This window comes from Homo sapiens, chromosome 22 (assembly GCF_000001405.40).
Source record: "Homo sapiens chromosome 22, GRCh38.p14 Primary Assembly".
NCBI lineage: Eukaryota > Metazoa > Chordata > Mammalia > Primates > Hominidae > Homo > Homo sapiens.
In genome coordinates this window covers 41,430,201-41,448,905 of record NC_000022.11, presented here as the reverse complement: position 1 = coordinate 41,448,905, position 18,705 = coordinate 41,430,201, and the positions used below count along the sequence as shown (strand labels likewise).

The 18,705-nt window shown below is 52.6% G+C and overlaps 1 protein-coding gene and 1 long non-coding RNA gene across 5 annotated transcripts, besides 6 other annotated features; one reads left to right on the top strand and one right to left on the bottom strand.

The window, feature by feature from the left end:
• Positions 1–12: 12 nt before the first annotated feature.
• LOC105373043 (uncharacterized) lies at positions 13–1,961 on the bottom strand. Its single transcript, XR_938274.2, has 2 exons — positions 874–1,961; positions 13–787 (listed from the first exon to the last, which is right to left on the bottom strand). It is a non-coding gene; the product is annotated as an uncharacterized LOC105373043 (long non-coding RNA).
• Positions 944–1,639: an enhancer, noted in NCBI's record as "NANOG-H3K27ac-H3K4me1 hESC enhancer chr22:41843271-41843966 (GRCh37/hg19 assembly coordinates)". NCBI's record gives its function as "activates a minimal SCP1, AML or CMV promoter by ChIP-STARR-seq in primed H9 embryonic stem cells {active_cell/tissue: H9 hESC(primed)}" and the evidence as "EXISTENCE:reporter gene assay evidence [ECO:0000049][PMID:30033119]".
• Positions 974–1,073: a silencer, noted in NCBI's record as "silent region_13790". NCBI's record gives its function as "represses an Ori minimal core promoter by ATAC-STARR-seq in GM12878 lymphoblastoid cells {active_cell/tissue: GM12878}" and the evidence as "EXISTENCE:reporter gene assay evidence [ECO:0000049][PMID:35858748]".
• Positions 1,640–2,335: an enhancer, noted in NCBI's record as "H3K27ac hESC enhancer chr22:41842575-41843270 (GRCh37/hg19 assembly coordinates)". NCBI's record gives its function as "activates a minimal SCP1, AML or CMV promoter by ChIP-STARR-seq in primed H9 embryonic stem cells {active_cell/tissue: H9 hESC(primed)}" and the evidence as "EXISTENCE:reporter gene assay evidence [ECO:0000049][PMID:30033119]".
• Positions 1,644–1,893: an enhancer, noted in NCBI's record as "active region_19115". NCBI's record gives its function as "activates an Ori minimal core promoter by ATAC-STARR-seq in GM12878 lymphoblastoid cells {active_cell/tissue: GM12878}" and the evidence as "EXISTENCE:reporter gene assay evidence [ECO:0000049][PMID:35858748]".
• Positions 2,105–15,412, top strand: TOB2 (transducer of ERBB2, 2). 4 transcript variants are annotated; one of them, NM_016272.4, is made up of 2 exons: positions 2,105–2,527; positions 11,499–15,412. In NM_016272.4, the coding sequence occupies exon 2, from the start codon at positions 11,561–11,563 to the stop codon at positions 12,593–12,595; it is 1,035 nt and encodes a 344-aa protein (NP_057356.1). In that variant the 5' UTR covers positions 2,105–2,527; positions 11,499–11,560; the 3' UTR covers positions 12,596–15,412. The 4 variants fall into 4 exon arrangements, with proteins under 4 accessions (NP_057356.1, XP_005261372.1, XP_016884028.1 ...); XM_005261315.3 differs by having other exon boundaries at positions 2,105–2,531; XM_017028539.2 differs by having other exon boundaries at positions 2,105–3,613.
• Positions 4,441–4,560: an enhancer, noted in NCBI's record as "active region_19114". NCBI's record gives its function as "activates an Ori minimal core promoter by ATAC-STARR-seq in GM12878 lymphoblastoid cells {active_cell/tissue: GM12878}" and the evidence as "EXISTENCE:reporter gene assay evidence [ECO:0000049][PMID:35858748]".
• Positions 11,507–12,010: an enhancer, noted in NCBI's record as "H3K4me1 hESC enhancer chr22:41832900-41833403 (GRCh37/hg19 assembly coordinates)". NCBI's record gives its function as "activates a minimal SCP1, AML or CMV promoter by ChIP-STARR-seq in naive H9 embryonic stem cells {active_cell/tissue: H9 hESC(naive)}" and the evidence as "EXISTENCE:reporter gene assay evidence [ECO:0000049][PMID:30033119]".
• Positions 15,413–18,705: the final 3,293 nt, after the last annotated feature.

Here is an 18,705-nt window from a genome sequence, read left to right as displayed (position 1 = left end):
TTTGAGCCAGGCTTTACATACAGCATCATATTTAATCCCCGACACGAGCTCCATTTTATAGATGGGGAAACTGAGGTTTGGTGATGTCAAGCGTTTTGCTGCATTAAATCAAGATCACACAGTCGGTAGCCGAACTGGGATGTAAACCCACCTATTTACATGGCTGCCTTAATCAATGACTACAAATACCAGCATCCCTTGCCGTGCCCGCTGGCGCAAACGCACACTCCCAAGGGCCCAGTCTTAGCGGCTGGATCCTAAACCCAATCAGACACCGCTTCTCCCTTTCCCCCGACCAATGGGAAGGCTGTTGCTAACACACCGGCTATATTTTTAGCTTTCAGTGCTCTGGGAGCGTGTGGGTCGGCTGAGCCTCTCTGCCTGGTGGGAAGAGCTAGGGGAAAAGAGAGAAGGGAAGGGGAGGGGGAAAGGGAGGGTGCAGCGGGCATGTGCGGGAGGGGGCGTGTGTGTGACGCTGTCACTCGCTGACGCACAAGGCAAGTAGTCCCTGGAGGTGCCCCCGGGGTTGCGACGCTCAGAGTGTGGGGGATGGGGGGGCGCTCAGGCTATCTCCCGCCTCCCTGTCCCGGTGGAGTTTGCCCTCCAGCCCGGCATTTCTCTGTTGCATTCAGGGAAAGTGCATTTAAACCCCCCACGCTACTGGTGCTCTCCGCCCTTGCCAAAAAAAGCGATCAAGGAAAAAAAAAAAGCAAACTGTTCGTAGCTGGAAACTTTCGGATCTCGCCACCCAACGTGGGGATGGCGGCTGCTGCTGGGCCGGAACCGTCTGGAATGACAAAAAAGGTGTGGGCGGGAGGGGAGAACTGGGAAATGGGAGATCTAAGGAGGGACCGGGGAGAAGACCTCACTCACAGTCCCCCGGGGGCTCCAGACTGCATCTTCCGGCACTCCTGTCTGCCTGTGACCGCAGAACACGGCCCTCCCTCCCCCTGGCTCTGTGTCCCGCACACTCACAGAGGCAGAGCAGCCCGCGTGGCCAGAGCCGGGGGAGGGGGCCTCAGCGCGCGGGCCTGGCGCGCCCAGTCCCGGGTTCGCGGAGCCTCGCTCCGCCGCCCGAGGGGCCGTAGTGGGTGCGAGCCTTGCGCCCGTTGCACGGTCAGGGGCCACCCCACGCCGGCGGGACTGCGACTAGAAGAAATGTGGGGCTCTCCCGCGTGCCCCACACTGGGGTCGCTGGCCAGAAAGAGCAAACAAGAGTTGGGAGAGGGGCTGCGCCCGCGCGCCTGCGCAGAGCCAGAGCCGGCCCTCCAGGCTGCAAGGAAAGGAGCGCCAGAGGCGGTGAGGGGAAGGTCCTTTGTGGCACTCGGCTAGTTTCACGGCCGTCAGCCTCGTCCTCGGCTCCTCTTACTCCCGCACAGCGTGGCCCAGGCCCCAGAGTCTCCCTCGCCTTTCTTTCGACGTTGAGCCCCCCGAGGAATCACAAGGCGCTCGGAAGACTCATGCCTGCCCGAAACGGGTCCGAAATGTTTCCAGAGCCCGCGTCGTCCCCTCAGTTCCCCCTCCCGCAGAGGCCGTAACGGGGCGATGCTATCGCCGCGGACACGGCCAGACGCTCGGAGCTGGAGGGAAGGCCCCGGGAAACGGCTCGGGCAAACGTCCGAACCATGGGCTCCGAGGCAGGTGCAGGGCGGACGACTCAGCGGGGGGTTTCCGGCGGGCATGGTGACTCCCTCCCCTCCCCCGCGATACTCGTCCCCCAAACACAACTAAAGGGAGAGTGCACTGTGCCCGGCTCGTGAGCAACCCGGCCCCAGGTGGTCCCCGGCCCTCACGGAGCGCCCCTGGGAGAACACCTCACACGACGCGCACAAGTTCAGAGTGGTATGGGAATGAAGGAAAGGAGTGCGGCGCGGCGCTGTGACAGGGAGGGGAAGACGGGGAGCCGGACGCACGACCGGCGAGCACAGAAGGGCACAGGAGCTGCTCCGCGAGATACCAGCGAGCTGAGGCGCGGGGCTGGCTGGGAAGTAGTCCCGGCCGGGCCCTGGCCCCGCCCCTGCAGGGCGGAGGGACGCATCACGCAGGGGTGGGGAAGCCGGATCCGTGCGCAGGGTTGCTAAGGGTGAAACTTTTCATTGACTTTGCTCACTTCGGGCCGGGGCGCGGGAAGGTGCGGGTTGTTGGCTGAGGCAAGCCGTGGCTCGGGCGACGCGGGGCCAGGAGGGCAGGACCGTCTGCCGGCGACAGCCCATACCGTCTGCCGTTGCGCGACACGAACCACCCTCCGATCCGCCATCCCCGCGTCGTCGCCGCTAGTCCGCCCGCCCGCCCTCGGGCCCCCCGCTGCCGAGCCCGACCTCCTAAGAGCTGAAAGAAATTATTGAGAGTCATAGTCCATAGCCCCCTGCTTCGTCCCCCAACCCTCAACGACGAAAAGGACTTCGGTCCCCTGGCCCGGCGACGCCCGGGAAGGAAAGGAGAGCGACCTCCGCCCCGCGCTCAGGCCACCCTGGAGGGAGAAGCCGCCCCGCGGCCGGTAGAGCGCCCCGCCGCCGCGGAGACCCGAGTGAGTGAGTTGGGGGGCGTGCGGGCGGGGGGCCCGCCCCGAGACCCAGCCGGCCGGACTACCTCTTCCACCCCGCCCCACTCCCGCTTTGCTGGACTCTCCACGTTGCTGCCGCTCCCTCCCCGCCTGGCCAGCATTTTCTTTCCCCATCCAGCTTCCCTCCAGACCCCACTTTCCCCAGCTCCTCTTCTCACGCCATCTGTGCTCCTGGGGTGCCCAAGAGCTCCTTTTTCTCCCAGTTCCAAGAGTGGCCCTCTCCTGGGTGGGGTGCATTTCCTCCCTTCCCCGCCTCCCCCGGTTCTTTATATCCTAGCTACTCGCTAGATCTTCCTTGTTCTCCAAAGAAACATAACTCCCCCCACCGTTAAATAAATCCGAGGAAGGAAGGGGATCCAGGCCTTGTTTTTCTGCTTCTTTTCCCGTGTGCAGGGAAGGGGGGTGGTAATTGTTAATAGACTCTATTTCTGGCTCTGTGGAGCCTGAAGGGTGGAGGGTGGACACCCCCTTTGGCGACGGGACAGGTCAGTGGAGATTGTCCTTGGGCCACTGAGCCAGAGTTCACCGTTTCGGCTGAGCTCTTTATACTCTTAAGTGTTTTAATGGAAAATTGGGCAGAAAAAAGTACCCTTAGAGCAGTGCCAGTGAGTGGATTCTGCTTATCTTGGTAAGGTGCCTGCGAGGTGGGGCCCTACCCCCAAACTCCTTCCCCTCCTGTCCGGAGGATGAACTGTGCCCTTGACCACCAGAAATCTGGGAGGGGAAGGAGGGTGCAGAGAGGAGGCACAGCCGGCAGGCCCTCTCCCTCCCCCAGGAGAAACCAGAACCCCGCACAGCAAGCTTCAGCTTGGGGACGGGTGGAGGCCAGTCTCTGGTGCTACTCCGTATCTAAACGGTCTTTTTCTCCTTCTTACCCACCGTACCCTGGGAATGGGTCCTTCATCTCTGATTTTCCGGCAGAAAAACAATCCTATTGCTTTCTTGGGCTTCTACCCCCATCCCTCCGTGAAGCATAGGGGGAAAGAAGCTTGTGTGGGAGGAAGGATTAAGGAGGTTTAACACCCAGCGGGGGAGCTTGCCGAGGATCTGGTAAGTCTGGTCGTAAAGCAGACCTTGCAATGGGAGGAGACACACAGAATTTTAGTATGAGAAGATGCTCAGGTGTCAGGTGTACAGTTTTTTTCTTCTCTGCCTGGGAACCTTTTCCTATTTCCCTCTCCCGGATCTGGTTACTCAGTCTTCGATTAGAAATGGGGTGAGGCTTGGGCCCTGCTGGCCTTGGCCTGGCGCCTCCCCACAGCTTGACTGGAAATTTCTTTGGCCGAGAGGACGGGAGAACTGGGTTTGATTCCTGCCTTTCCTTTCCTGGCTGTTTGGGGTGCTGGAGCCGAGTCCGCTAGGCATTAAGTGAAAAAGATCCGTTTCCCTTTGAATCCACCGTCCATCCAGCAACCCCACACGGACCGCCCAGGCCCTGGAATTCAGATTGGGTGGGGGGAAGGGGGTCGTGACCTTATCTAAGCCAGCCCACCCCCTTCACCCAGAAAAAACTCATTAGAAGCAGATCCTAGTTTCATCAGTAATGGGAGGCGATGAAGGGAAAGGTGGGAAAGTTAGGCTCTCGTAAAGCCTAGAGGATGTGGTGGGGCCATACAATACGGGGAGTAGGCCTTTTGGGTAGAATCTACATGAAATGTATTAGGCGATGGGAGGGGGGCGCCGACCCGCCTCAGCGCGCATGTGCATCGGAAACTTTTCCTGGGCTCTTCGACCCTCGGTCGGCTCCCCTTACCGGGCATGCGTATTGCGGCCAGTTGGGCCTTCGCAAAGTGCTCAGGGAAGTGTAGTGTGCAGGGAAAGTAGGTCACTCCTGCTATCGCCTGGTCCGGAGGTGTTTGAGGACTACAATTCCCAGAGTGCAGAGCGGGCCCTCACCGCCCGCCTCTCCGCCTACGTTTGGGTTGAGTCGAGTTTTCCTAGCTCCTGAGGAACATGGAGTGCCCTAGAAAGGGTCTTCATAGCCGAAAGGGGCCTTGTTGTCAGACCTAAGGTTGACCGGTCTGTGTCTAGGGGGAGATGATGAGAGACTGGGCGCGGTGTTGCAGTCAGTCAGCACCAGTCCTGGAAGCCTTTCAATACACACCCGCCTGTCTGGGCCGCTGCCTCTGGGACCAGCGAGTTGGGGCGGATCCCGTGTCTCACCAAGGAGAGGAGCTGCCTGCGTTTGGCTCTCACTCCCCGGACAGCGGCAGGGCACTCGCATCCACCCGGTCTGTGACACCTGCTGGCCCCTCCACACTTAGTTGAGTCCTGTAGTCCGTCATTGTAGGACAGTTTGCACATTTAAGGCTTAGAGGTGTCTGAGTATCTTTTTGGGTTTGGGGCTCAGTGGATTCCATCACCATTATCCCTCCTTTTCCTCTTTGAAACAGAATTTTCTTTCTGAAAAACCTTCCGGCCGGGTGCGGTGGCTCACGCCTGTAATCCCAGCACTTTGGGAGGCTGAGGCGGGCAGCGGATAACCTGAGGTCGGGAGTTCGAGACTAGCCTGACCAACTTGGAGAAACCCCGTCTCTGCTAAAAATACAAAATTAGCCGGGCGTGGTGGCGCATTCCTGTAATCCCAGTTACTCGGGAGGCTGAGGCAGGAGAATCGCTTGAACCTGGGAGGCGGAGGTTGCGGTGAGCCGAGATCGCGCCATTGCACTCCAGCCTGGGCAACAAAACCGAAACTCCATCTCAAAAAAAAAAAAAAAAAAATCTTCTGGCTAGGCAGTGACTCACGCCTGTAATCCCAACACTTTGGGAGGCGGAGGCGAGCGGATCACGAGGTCAAGATTTCGAGACCAGCCTGGCCAACATGGTGAAGCCCCGTCTCTACTAAAAATACAAAAATTAGCCGGGCGTGGTCCCGCGTGCCTATAATCCCAGCTACTCGGGAGGCTGAGGCGGGAGAATTGGTTGAACCCAGGAGGCGGAGGTTGCAGTGAGCCAAGATGGCGCCATTGCACTCCAGCTCTGGGCTACAGAGCAAGACTGTCTCGAGGGGGGGAAAAAAATCTTCCTTCGCTTCTGACATTAGAGCAGGCAGACACATGCGCGCGCGTGTGACACACACACACACCTTCCTCACATTTTTATCAGAAGTTCTCTCTGGAATCTGCACTGACTGAGGCTTCTTTTGAGCTTCACGCCCCACTTCTTCCCCCGTCGTCTTTCTCCTAGGCACCTGCTCTTTAAAACACAAGTCAGCACAAGGGATCAGAATCCAGGTTTAACTTTGCTGCTGGAAGTAAACAAGTGAGGATAAAATTCTTAGTGAAATTGGACAGAATTTTGCTCTCATATTTGCCCTTTTTAATAGGTTGACAAAAGGGAGATTTTGCTATTGTTAAACACCTCACCATTTTTATTCTTCTTGCTCCCTTTTTCGCCGTTTGTGCCTACACTGGGGTTAGAAAAGATCTTAGTGTCCTCTGCAGCCACTTAAGCGAATCCCTTTACTTGTTCCCTTTATTGACAGGTAGTTATTTCTAAGCTTTCTAATCTTACCATACTTCCATAAATATTTTATATATAAGCTCTAGAATTTGTTCATAGCTTTTTAAAAAATGAACAAACTCCTCTGAATGGCCACTCCTATCTTTAGCTAAAGACAAGCCAGCACCAGTGCTTTAATCCTCTGCTCCATAAGCTTCTTGCAGTCAAAATTAGAGCCTGAGCTGATAGAGCAGAAAATCTCATTCTGGTTGTCCATCATTTTTGTAAGGTTCCACCCCACAGCCATCTGGTCCAGCCTGTTCTCTAATTAAAGAGGCAAAGGTGGCATTATATGCTTCCTTATTTGTGCGGCAACATCACTGAGGTATAAATTGGTGTGCAGCTTTAGTTGCTTATGCTGCAGAAAATGGTTAGCTAGGCAGGGCTGATGACAGTGGTTCTATTGTATTTTGGGGTGGGAGGCTTATTTCCCAATGACTTTGGCCTGCATTTAAAATGCTCTCATTTTGAGGCCGAACTGTTCAGGAGTAGTTAACTTGGAAGGCAATTATGCAGCCAGGTTTGAGGAGGCTTAGAAAGGTGTAGAAACCCTTTGCTCTCAGTGGAAATACCAAGAGGTGCATTTTAAGAGGCCATGCAGTACCTTGGGAGAAGTATCATATGTTGACTTCAGTCTGTTTTAGATTTCAAAAATACTTTGGAAACACTGTCTTTAACAACAGGTTCCATTCTAGGGAACCAGTATCAACTTTCCTCACAACTTTTTTTTCTTTTTTTTTTTTTTTTGAGGCAGAATTTCTCTCACTTTGTCATTCAGACTGGAGTCCAGTGGCATGATCTCGGCTTACTGCAAACTCTGCCTCCCAGGTTCAAGCGATTCTCTTGCCTCAGCCTACGGAGTAGTGGGATTATAGGCACCCGCAATCATGCTGGGCTAATTTTTATGGGGTTTTTTCTTTTCTTTTTTTTTTTTTTGAGAAAAATCACTCTTGCCCAGGCTGGAGTGCAGTGGCGCAATCTTGGCTCACTGCAACCTCCGCCTCCTGGGTTCAAGCAATTCTCCTGCCTCAGCCTCCTGAGTAGCTGAGGTTACAGGCGTGTGCCACCACACCCGGCTAATTTTTTATTTTTAGTAGAGACGGGGTTTCACCATGTTGGTCAGGCTGGTCTCGGACTCCTGACCTTGTGATCCACCCGCCTCAGCCTCGCAAAGTGCTGGGATTACAGGCATGAGCCACAATGCCCGGCTAATTTTTGTGTTTTTAGTAGAGATGGGGTTTCGCCACGTTGGCCAGGCTGGTCTTGAATTCCTGGCCTCAAGTGATCCACCTGCCTTGGCCTCCCGAAGTGCTGGGATTACAGGTGTGAGCCACCACACCTGGCTCTTCACAACTTTTTAGTCTGCTCCTTGTTGGACACCTCTATGGACTATGTGGCCCTTCAGACCTCTGTTCCTGAGAGAAGGCTCATGGTTCTGGTGGGTAGTTTTGTATCTGCTGATGAGCCTGATCCTCATAAACAGAAAGCCCTTTATTCTTTCTACTATTCTTACTTTTTTTTTTTTTTGAGGTAGAGTCTTGCTCTGTCACCCAGGCTAGAGTGCAATGGCACGATCTCAGCTCATTGCAACCTCCGCCTCCTGGGTTCAAGCGATTCTCCTGCCTCAGCCTCCCGAGTAGCTGGGACTACAGCTGCGTGCCACCACGCCTGGATAATTTTTGTATTTTTATAGAGATGGGGTTTCACCGTGTTAGCCAGGATGGTCTCAATCTCCTGACCTTGTGATCCACTCGCCACGGCCTCCCAAAGTGCTGGGATTACAGGCGTGAGTCACCGTGCCCGGCCTCTACTATCCTTACTTTTTATACCCAAAAAAGCCCTGAAATTGGTCTGTATTGATCATTAATAGACATTTGAGGCTGAGGCACGTGGATCACTTGAGCGTAGGAGTTCAAGAACAGCCTGGGTGACATGGCAAAACCCCATCTCTACATAAAAATACAAAAAAAAATGAGGCTGGACATGGTGGCTCAGGCCTGTAAACCTACCACTTTGGGAGGTTGAAGCAGGTGGATCACTTGAGGCCAGGAGTTCAAGAGCAGCCTGGCCAACGTGATGAAACCCCGTGTGTACTAAAAATACAAAAATTAGCCAGGTGTGGTGGTGCATGCCTGTAATTCCAGCTACTCAGTAGGCTGAGGTGGGAGAATTGTTTGAACGTAGGAGGCAGAGGTTGCAGTGAGTCGAGATCACGCCACTGCATTCCAGCCTGGGTGACAGAGACTTCATGTCAAAAAAAAAAAAAAAAAGCCAGGTGTGGTGGTACATGCCTGTAGTCCCAGCTACTTGGAGGCTGAAGTGGGAGGATCACCTGAGCCCAGGGAGGTGGAGGCTGCAGTGAGCTGTGATCCTGCACCCTAGCTTGGGTGACAGAGTGAGACCCTGTCTCAAAAAAAGAAAAAGAGGCCAGGCGCGGTGGCTCATGCCTGTAATCCCAGCACTTTGGGAGGCTGAGGTGGGTGGATCACGAAGTCAGCAGTTCGAGACCATCCTGGCCAACATGGGGAAACCCCGTCTCTACTGAAAAAAAAAAAAATTAGCCAGGAGTGGTGGTGCACGCCTGTAATCCCAGCTACTTGGGAGACTGAGGCAGGAGAATCGCTTGAACCGGGGAGGCAGAGGTTGCAGTGAGCCGAGACCGTGCCATTGCACTCCAGCCTGGGCGACAGAGCAAGACTCCGTCTCAAAAAAAAAAAAAAAAAGAAAGAAAAAGAAAAAAATAGACATTTGAAGAAACTTAGAGATGAAGTCTGTGTTGGAGGCTGGGAAAAGAGGGAAACCAGGGTATTCTGAGTCCTGAGTGTTCTTGTGGAGGGTTTGGGAGAGGCATAGTTGTGGTACCTCTGCTGACTCCCATGTGACCTTCTCTGTTCCTCAGAACTGAAATGAGGGTTAACTAGATTCAGCCACTGTCATGCTGCTCCAGATTGACCCAGTGAGTCTTCTCTGATACATTCACCCCAGAAATCTTTTTCTGAGGATTTAGTCCCAAAAATGCCCCTTAAGGCCGTGTGTGTTGGCTCATGCCTGTAATCCCAGCACTTTGGGAGACCAAGGCAGGCGGAACACTTTAGGTTAGGAGTTTGAGACCAGCCTGGCCAACATGGTGAAACCCCATCTCCACTAAAAATACAAAAACTAGCCAGGCGTGGTGACGGGCACCTATAGTCCCAGCCATTCAGGAGGCCAAGGCACGAGAATCACTTGAACCTGGGAGGTGGAGGTTGCAGTGAGCCAAGATCACGCCACTGCAGTCCAGCCTGGGCGATAGAACGAGACTCAGTCTCCACATACATACATACATACATACATACATACATACATACATACATACATACGTAAAATTAAATTAAATTAAATGCCCCTTAAGAGCCATGGGCCCAGGCCTGAGAATTACAGGGAAATGTGTTGGGGCAGGTGTTTAGAAAACTCAAAATCCCCAAGCCTGAAATTAGCACCTGGATACTTCAAGCTGGATCCAGAAAGGATTTGAATCAAAATCCAGCCCCAAGTCTTTCATAGGACAGAAGATGCCCTTGACAGTTCATGGAGCAGTCATGTCTCTTTGCTTAGCTCAGCAGCACAGCCTTGCCCAGAGGTCTGGCTAGGAACATGTTCTGGCTCTGCCTCCTCTCAGAGATGGCTCTTTCAGTTCAGTTTCTCCCCCAGCATGAGCCCCGGAGCTGCCCTTTTGGAGAAAATGAGATTAGGATCACTGGCTCTCAGGACCTCACAGATCATCTTCCTGAGACATGAGGCTGGCCCAGGCCAAGGGAATAAACCTTTTTGACCTCAGTGGGATCTGGCTGTGAGAGAATCCCAAAATAACAATCTGGTGTTTATCTTGGGCTGCCTTCTCTCCGGGGATCTCAAAACACTTGATAAATCTGATCTGCTGCCGAGGACAGGTGGTCAGACAGTCCCTGGGAGACTGAGTGATGATGGGTCCCTACCGGAGGCTGCAGGGTGATGGAAAATTTCTTTCCTCTGCCACCCTCATCACTTACATTCTCACCAGAAACTACAGAGATTCCCCCTCCTTTTCTCTGCTTCCCTGTGGCAGCCCCGAGTCAGCAGTTCCCTTGTTGGTCCACATCTCTGATTGTGACAGGTCTTGCCTTTTTCCTGGGGCTCATGCTCTTGTCTTATGTCTTATTCCTTTTTTTTTTTTTTTTTTTTTTTTTTTTTTTGAGACAGAGTTTCGCTCTTGTTGCCCAGGCTGGAGTACAATGGTGCGATCTCGGCTCACCACAACCTCCGCCTCCTGGGTTCAAGCGATTCTCCTACCTCAACCTCCCGGGTAGCTGGGATTACAGGCATGCACCACCATGCTCGGCTAATTTTTTGTATTTTTAGTAGAGACAGGGTTTCTCCATGTTGGTCAGGCTGGTCTCGAACTCCCGACCTCAGGTGATCCACCCGCCTCAGCCTCCCAAAGTGCTGGGATTACAGGCATGAGCCACTGCACCTGGCCGGAGTTCTTAAATCAGTTCTGCAAACCTGGACTGAACCAGACAGCATACACACCCATGGGGCCCATGATGACAGATGGATGTGACTGGAGTCCAGGCCCCCAGTGAAGAATTGGCAGTGCTCTTTCCTGTTCAGTGACCTGTATCCCTTTTCATTTAAGGAGGACAACCAAATATTTTAAACTTACATCTTAGTCTGTGACAGTTTGGGGGCACGACTTCACCAAGATATTGCAGAGACAGCAAGAGACTTCTTCTTCACCTGATTTAGGGACTTGATTTTTTTAGTGTCATTCATACAGTGACCTGAATTCTCAAGATGGTGGAAAACACAGCTTCCCTATTTCTTTAGAATTACTTTAAAATAGTAGCTTTTTTTTTTTTTTTTTTTTTTTTTTTTGAGATGGAGTCTCACTCTGTCGCCAGGCTGGAGTACAGTGGCATGATCTCGGCTCACTGCAACCTCTGCCTCCTGGGTTGAAGCAATTCTCCTGCCTCAGCCTCCCAAGTAGCTGAGACTACAGGCATGCGCCACTATGCCCAGCTAATTTTTGTATTTTTAGTAGAGATGGGGCTTCATCATGTTGGCCAGGATGGTCTTGATTTCTTGACCTCGTGATCTACCTGCCTCAGCCTCCCAAAGTGCTGGGCTTACAGGCATCAGCCACCGCGCCCGGCCAATAGTAGCTAACTTTATCAATTACCTTTTAATTGCCAGGTACACTGTGAGGCAGTTTATATCCTTGAACTACCTTAACTTCATGATGGCCTCATGTTACTAATGAGGAAACTGGGGCCCACAGTCAGACATGAGCCACTGGTGGGGCAGAAATAGGCTCCTGGTTCTGTGTGATCCAAAGTTGGTGCTTTTCTGTCTATCCCTAGCTGTTGGTCACCACCAGCTTTCTGCATATTTTCTCACGGTGCCTCTCATTTCCCAGAGCCGCCTGGAGCCCAAGGCTGTACACGTGCCCTGTGCTGATTCTCTGCCTAGGAAAGGACCATGCAGCTAGAGATCAAAGTGGCCCTGAACTTCATCATCTCCTACTTGTACAACAAGCTGCCCCGGCGCCGGGCAGACCTGTTTGGGGAGGAGCTAGAGCGGCTTTTGAAAAAGAAATATGAAGGCCACTGGTACCCTGAGAAGCCACTGAAAGGCTCTGGCTTCCGCTGTGTTCACATTGGGGAGATGGTGGACCCCGTGGTGGAGCTGGCCGCCAAGCGGAGTGGCCTGGCGGTGGAAGATGTGCGGGCCAATGTGCCTGAGGAGCTGAGTGTCTGGATTGATCCCTTTGAGGTGTCCTACCAGATTGGTGAGAAGGGAGCTGTGAAAGTGCTGTACCTGGATGACAGTGAGGGTTGCGGTGCCCCAGAGCTGGACAAGGAGATCAAGAGCAGCTTCAACCCTGACGCCCAGGTGTTCGTGCCCATTGGCAGCCAGGACAGCTCCCTGTCCAACTCCCCATCGCCATCCTTTGGCCAGTCACCCAGCCCTACCTTCATTCCCCGCTCCGCTCAGCCCATCACCTTCACCACCGCCTCCTTCGCTGCCACCAAATTTGGCTCCACTAAGATGAAGAAGGGGGGCGGGGCAGCAAGTGGTGGGGGTGTAGCCAGCAGTGGGGCGGGTGGCCAGCAGCCACCACAGCAGCCTCGCATGGCCCGCTCACCCACCAACAGCCTGCTGAAGCACAAGAGCCTCTCTCTGTCTATGCATTCACTGAACTTCATCACGGCCAACCCGGCCCCTCAGTCCCAGCTCTCACCCAATGCCAAGGAGTTCGTGTACAACGGTGGTGGCTCACCCAGCCTCTTCTTTGATGCGGCCGATGGCCAGGGCAGCGGCACCCCAGGCCCGTTTGGAGGCAGTGGGGCTGGCACCTGCAACAGCAGCAGCTTTGACATGGCCCAGGTATTTGGAGGTGGTGCCAACAGCCTCTTCCTGGAGAAGACACCCTTTGTGGAAGGCCTCAGCTACAACCTGAACACCATGCAGTATCCCAGCCAGCAGTTCCAGCCCGTGGTGCTGGCCAACTGACCATCTACCTGCCCGTGGGGCCAGGAGCACCCAAGACCACAGAAAAGAGAAAGGAAAGGCCAAAAAAAAGAGGAAAAGAAAAATGTACAAAAAGATTTTCGATCTTCTCACTCTTACTTCTAGAAAAAAGATCCAGCCCAGGCACGGAATGGGAGGGCCCTGCAAAGCACCCAAGTGTGTTTCACTCACCCCTTACCGCTCGCCCACCGGCCTGTGATTTATTTGGTTGGTTTGGGTTTTATATTTCTTTTTCTTTTTTTTTTTTCTTACATGTAGTTTTCTATATAACATCTTTAATGAGTGGCTTCCTGTGCTAAGAATGGTCCAGATGTGAACTGCTGCTCCCTGCTCCTCCCTTCCTCCTTCACACTCCTAGTTTAGGATTGATGTGTCCAAGCTCATAGGGAAGAAAGAGCTGCAGCTGGAGCCTGACCCTCCCTGGAACAGGGAGAGGCTGGCCCGTGTCACTGCCTCTGTCACCCAGCTATCCTCGCACTCAAAGCCATCCAACCTCAGCAGGCCTTCTCGGGCCCTGCCACCTGAATAGGTCTGACCCCAGTCCCCACTCCCTTTCAGGCTGGGCCACAGGGAGTTGCTGGCTGGCCACTTGACACCCTCCCCCTGGAGCTGATGTCTGTGACTACAGGGAGATTAGCACTTCGTCTAGTGAAACTCCTTTCATCTCTGTCCTATGGCCCCACCCCACCATTCCCTCTAGGCCCAGACCATCATCATGGCCCTGGCCATTGATGTGTATGGGCTTTCTTTCCCTCATGCAGCCCCTTCTTCCCCAGGCTGGATGTTGTGGGTAGGGAGGGGTGTGTGTGTGTGTATTTGGTTTGCTGTCCTTTTTTAAAGGATTCCAAGCCATGTGAAACTTCCCTTCTGGATGTGATTCTGGGTCGCAAGTCCTTATTTATATGTGAGGCTGGGGAATGGGCTGGGGGTATTGGCAGTCCTTTTGCAGGGCAGTGTGTGTGGTGGGGTGACACCGCTGTGGCTTAGCCCAAGACACTCCCAGAGGAAAACACTGCAGAAGGAACTGGTTTGCAGACTGTGGAAGGATCTGCAGTTTTGTTTTTGACCAAAAAAATAATAATAAGTTAGCTCTGAAGGGCAGAGGGAATACCCAAGCCCCTGATGCCTATGAGAAGTCCCTGGACTTCAACCCTCCTGTTGTTTGGCCTTAGCCCAGAGGGAGCTGCTCACCTGAGCACCCTTGGGGGTGGGCAGAGAGGCAGGGTGGGATTTTAGAGTTAGTGTCTGTGCGGGGGCAGCCCTGAGCCTGGAGTTGAGACTTTGGGGTCTCTTAGTTTGGAGGTGTTGAGTGCATTTGTGCCCCTGCCTGGTTGAGAGCTTCTTGGTACCTCTTGCCACCCCTTCTCACTGCCCTGACCCAACCCCACTGGACCTTGATGCTGCGAGGAGTGGTGTCCTGACGGACTCAGCACTCCCGCCTGATGTATTGGATCATAGGAGAGCACTTGCTCTCCTGCCTCTGCCAGGAGAGGGCTTGTTCCTCCAACTCTAGGAGGCCAGGCAAGCATGGACAGGAGCCAAGGGAGCAGGGTCATTAACTTTTTCTTCTTTGCAAAGTGGGCACTTGGCATCAGGGTCCCAATCACCAGAAAGCACCAAAGCCCCTGGCACCCCACCCACTCCATCCTACCCAGGGACCCCAAGTAGGCAACTGTTATGGCAGTGGGTCCAGCCCAGGCCAGCACTGCCAGCCTCCTCTCCCTGCAGTAGGCACCAGCTCTACCTCCCCCGGCAGGCAATGTCCTGGCTTCTCAGCCCAGCACCATCTGTTCCCCTAGACTTCTCAGGGGCCAGCCCAGTCTGGGCCACCCTTTGTTTCCCTCATCCTCGGCTCCCACACAGGTGACAGACCCAGCAGATAGCTTCTCTCTGGGAAAGGTTGGATGCTGCCTTACATCCCCTTCTAGCCCTCCTCCCATCCACACACACAGGCACCCACCCACACCAGGTCGGCTTGTTTCTCACATGTAGGGAGAGAGGGGAGACCAACCCCTTTGTGTCTTTTGAAATACGAAGAAAAATGTGTGTTCAGGAGCATGACTCCAGTGCTGCGCTCTTGGGCCCAGTTCAGTCTGTCTTGTCTCAAATCTAGGCATTTTTGCTTCAATTTTATTTTTTTTAAGAATACAAAAACAGAAATCTGCACTAATTTACCTGGTTTCGTAGGAAAACTTTTTTTTATTTTTTACATTTTTTGGTGTCCGTTTGTATTGAATAATTTGCTACATTTGTAAAATGTAAGAGGTATATAATATATGTATATTTCTAACGTAAAAAACATAATTTTTTTCTTTTCAAGATTTTTTCTTAAAAAGATGAGAGAAACATATTTTTTCAGGAAAAACAAACTTTAAAAAAAAAAGAGGAGAAATAAAACCTTTTCTCCCCTTTCCCCATCCTCTATCTATCCCTCTTTCCCAGGAACAAATCAAAAGGTGGATTATCTTCTGAAGAATGGAAACTGTTAGTCCAGAATGATGTGTTTTTCTCAATGCAGTGAGTTATAGATTCTCTAGTTTTCTCCCTAGGGATGGGAAGGGGGCATTGAGGCAAGCCTGGAGAGGAGCCCGGGGAGCAGGGTCATGAACTTTTTTCTTTAGTGAAGGAGGAATACAATCAAGGGTTTTGTATTCAGAATGTTGTGCAATATTTTGGAATGGGACATTGGTGTGTTTAGAGATTTTAGTTTAAAAACAAAACAAAAAGATTGATCAAATCTGTACAGTTTCTATTGTTCCAGATTTTTTTAAGTTTGTATTAAAAGCATGATACATAATAGCCTTCTGCCTGCTCCTGGCTTGCTTGGTTTCTGGGGTCCCTTTTGGGATGGAGAGAATGGGAGTGGCCCAGCCCTTACAGACTCCAAGAAACGATTGGTCCTCCTTACAGTGACAGCCTCGGATGGACATAACTGTCCTGGTGCCCCTTCTTGACCACCTATCCATCCCATCAACACAGGATACATCATTGTGCTTGCTACCGCAGATGCTTTTCTACACTGGAAACAGGTTCCACAAAGTTAGAAACCGCTCCAGTTCCCTTAGCCAGTTGGTGGTGGCAGCAGAGCCTGGAGAACGGGGTACTTCATGGCTCTTTAGGAATTGTCTATTCCTGGGGGGAGGAGAGCGGGGACAGCCTCCAGCCTACTCTAGATCTAGTACTTGATCCTTAGTACTAGATCCTTAGATGTGGGCAAGGATGAGAACAGCTTGCCTAAGCCAGGTTCCATCCAAAAGCCCGGTGCTTGGATTCTCAACCCTTTTCTTGGGCTGGACAATTTCGGAGCTGCCTTAAGAGTGAGACAGCCCAGCCCAGAGAAAGCCACCCTTCTGCCAGTGGCCGATTTCCTTAGGAGCTCTGCTATCTCCCAGTGGCCCGGGCCATATTTTCCCCTTCCCAGGGCCTGTGCCTATCAATGCTGCCCATCTAGGAGAGAAACCTCCCACCTTGGCCTCCCTCTCAAAGTGCTGGGATTATGGACGTGAGCCACCATTCCTCATCCTGTTGAATTTTCACAGGGATTGTTCATCCTCACAGGGATTGTCTCCATTTTGCAGTTAAGAAATAGGCTGGGTGCAGTGGTTCACATCTGTAATCCCAGCACTTTGGGAGGCCGAGGCAGACGGATCACTCGAGGTCAGGAGTTTGAGAACAGCCTGGCCAACATGATGAAACCCCGTCTCTACTAAAAAAAAAAAAAAAACAAAACAAAAAACACAAAAATTATCTGGGTGTGGTGGCGAGCGCCTATAATACCAGCTACTTGGGAGGCTGAGGCACTAGAATCTCTTGAACCCGGGAGGCGGAGGTTGCAGTGAGCTGAGATCGCGCCATTGCACGCCACTTGCTCTGGGTGACAGAGCAAGACTCCGTCTCAAAGAAACAAACAAAAAAGAAATAGGCTCCAACTTAGATTACCCTAGACTCATAAAACTAGTAAATGGTAAAGATTCTGACTCGTGTCTGATTTTTTCATTTATTGATCCAAGTGATACTGGGCAGCGTCAGTTCTTGTCCACTGGAGAATAAATCAGACAGTGTCTGCCTTCCCAGAGTTGACATCTCACATGCATTTGATACAATTATAACTGCTATAGAAGAGTGATACAGGTTAAGGGTGGCAGGGGATGACCTTGCCACCTCTACTGCCACCACTGGGCTGGGGTAGGGGGCAAACAGTTCTGGGGCATCAGTGGGGTAAGGGGCCTCCTCAGGCCCCTCATTCCCCAAACAGGCAACGCTGAGCACTCCCCAACCAAGTTTGCGAACTGGAAGGCCCCAGGGCAAACATCCAACTTCTGGACAGGTTGCAGGAGGCCTGATGTCCAGCCCCTCCATGGGCCACTTCCCCTCTGCAGGGCCTGTTGAGCGGAGGGAGGCCCCCATCCAGGATAACGAGGCCCTGGCCTGCCAGACACAGGGCCATTTGCAGGGGTTTCACTTTCTTCCGTCCTGCCAGGGAGAAGCCCACCTTGTCCCTGCATCCCTGTGTGTGGGCTGACCACCCAACCTTGGGCACCACAGCAGGGGCAGGATGGCCTTCACCTGCTCATTCCTATTTCATGTAGACAAAGGTCCTGACACGGCAGGTGCCTGCTCCCACTCCCTGTCATGCTGTCAGCGGAGGGTCCTGGGCGAGACCCAGCTCAGAAGCTGAGACTCACCTTCCTGGCCTGGCCCATCCCTCTGAAGGTATAGACACTACAGATTTGAAAAAAAAAAAAAAAATTCTCCATGGCATAGACAGAAATCACTCATTCAGACATTCATGCCTCTATTTATTCAGCAAACGCTCACTGGTTCTGAAGAGGTGGACGGGAGACTTAGAGGGGTAAAGGGATGCTGGGGCCCCAGCCCTGCAGCAGGGGAAGAAAGAATATTTTAGTAGACAGTTCCTCCAAAAAAGGCTAATTTATTCCTTTGACAAACCATCCATGGGCATCCACTCTCTGCCCTGGGAACACAGGTGGGAAAGCAGTTTCAGGACAGGTATGCACGGGCGACCTGAGAGCCAGAGACTGAGGAAGGCTTCCCAGAGGAGGTGAAGACAGAGTACGGGCCGGGTGCGGTAGTTCATGCCTGTAATCCCAACATGCTGGGAGGCCAAGGCAAGAGGATCGCTTGAGCCCAGGAGTCCAACATTAGCCCTAGGCAATAGAAGAAGACCCCATCTCTACAAAAAATTAAAAAATTCGCCGAGTGTGGTGGCGCATACCTGTGTCCCAGCTACTCTGGAGGCTGAGGTAGGAGGATCGCTAAATGAATAAATAAATACATACATAATAAAAAGAGTACCAGTCAGTCAAGAAGAAGCAAAGCAAGGCCCCTCCACTCCCCAGGGAGCCCCATCAGGAGGGCACCCGTCAGGGTCAGGGAAGAGGCTGGACTCTGCTCCCTTAGAAGTGCAGGTTCTACCATCCTGGTTAACACAGTGAAACCCCCTCTCTACTAAAAATACAAAAAATTAGCCAGGCGTGGTGGCAGGCGCCTGTAGTCCCACCTACTCGGGAGGCTGGAGCAGGAGAATGGCCTGAACCCGGGAGGTGGAGTTTGCAGTGAGCCGATATGGCGCCACTGCACTCCACCCTGGGCGACAGAGCGAGACTCCATCTCAAAAAAAGAAAAGAAGTGCAGGTTCTAATTCCAACCCTGCCACTCTCTTGCTAGGTGACCTCGGACAAATCACTCCACCTACCCTGGCACCTCAGTTCCCTCACCTTGAAAATGGAGATTAAAAACAAAACATAAAAGAGAAAAGAAGCCAGGCGTGGTGGCTCATGCCTGCAATCCCAACACTTTGGTAGACTGAGGTGGGTGGATCACCTGAGGTGAGCAATTCGAGACCAGCCTGGCCAATATGGAGAAACCCCATCTCTACTAAAAATACAAAAATTAGCTGGGTGTGGTGGTGCACACCTGTAATCTCAGCTACTTGGGAGGCTGAGGCAGGACAATTGCTTGAACCTGGGAGGTGGAGGTAGCAGTGAGCCGATATCACGCCACTGCACTCCAGCCTGGGTGACAGAGCAAGGGTACATCTCAAAAAAAACCAAACCAAAACAAAACAAAAA

Bases quoted from the DNA above. Each gene is read 5' to 3' on its own strand.
- TOB2 (NM_016272.4), top strand. From the start codon at position 11,561: ATGCAGCTAGAGATCAAAGTGGCCCTGAACTTCATCATCTCCTACTTG.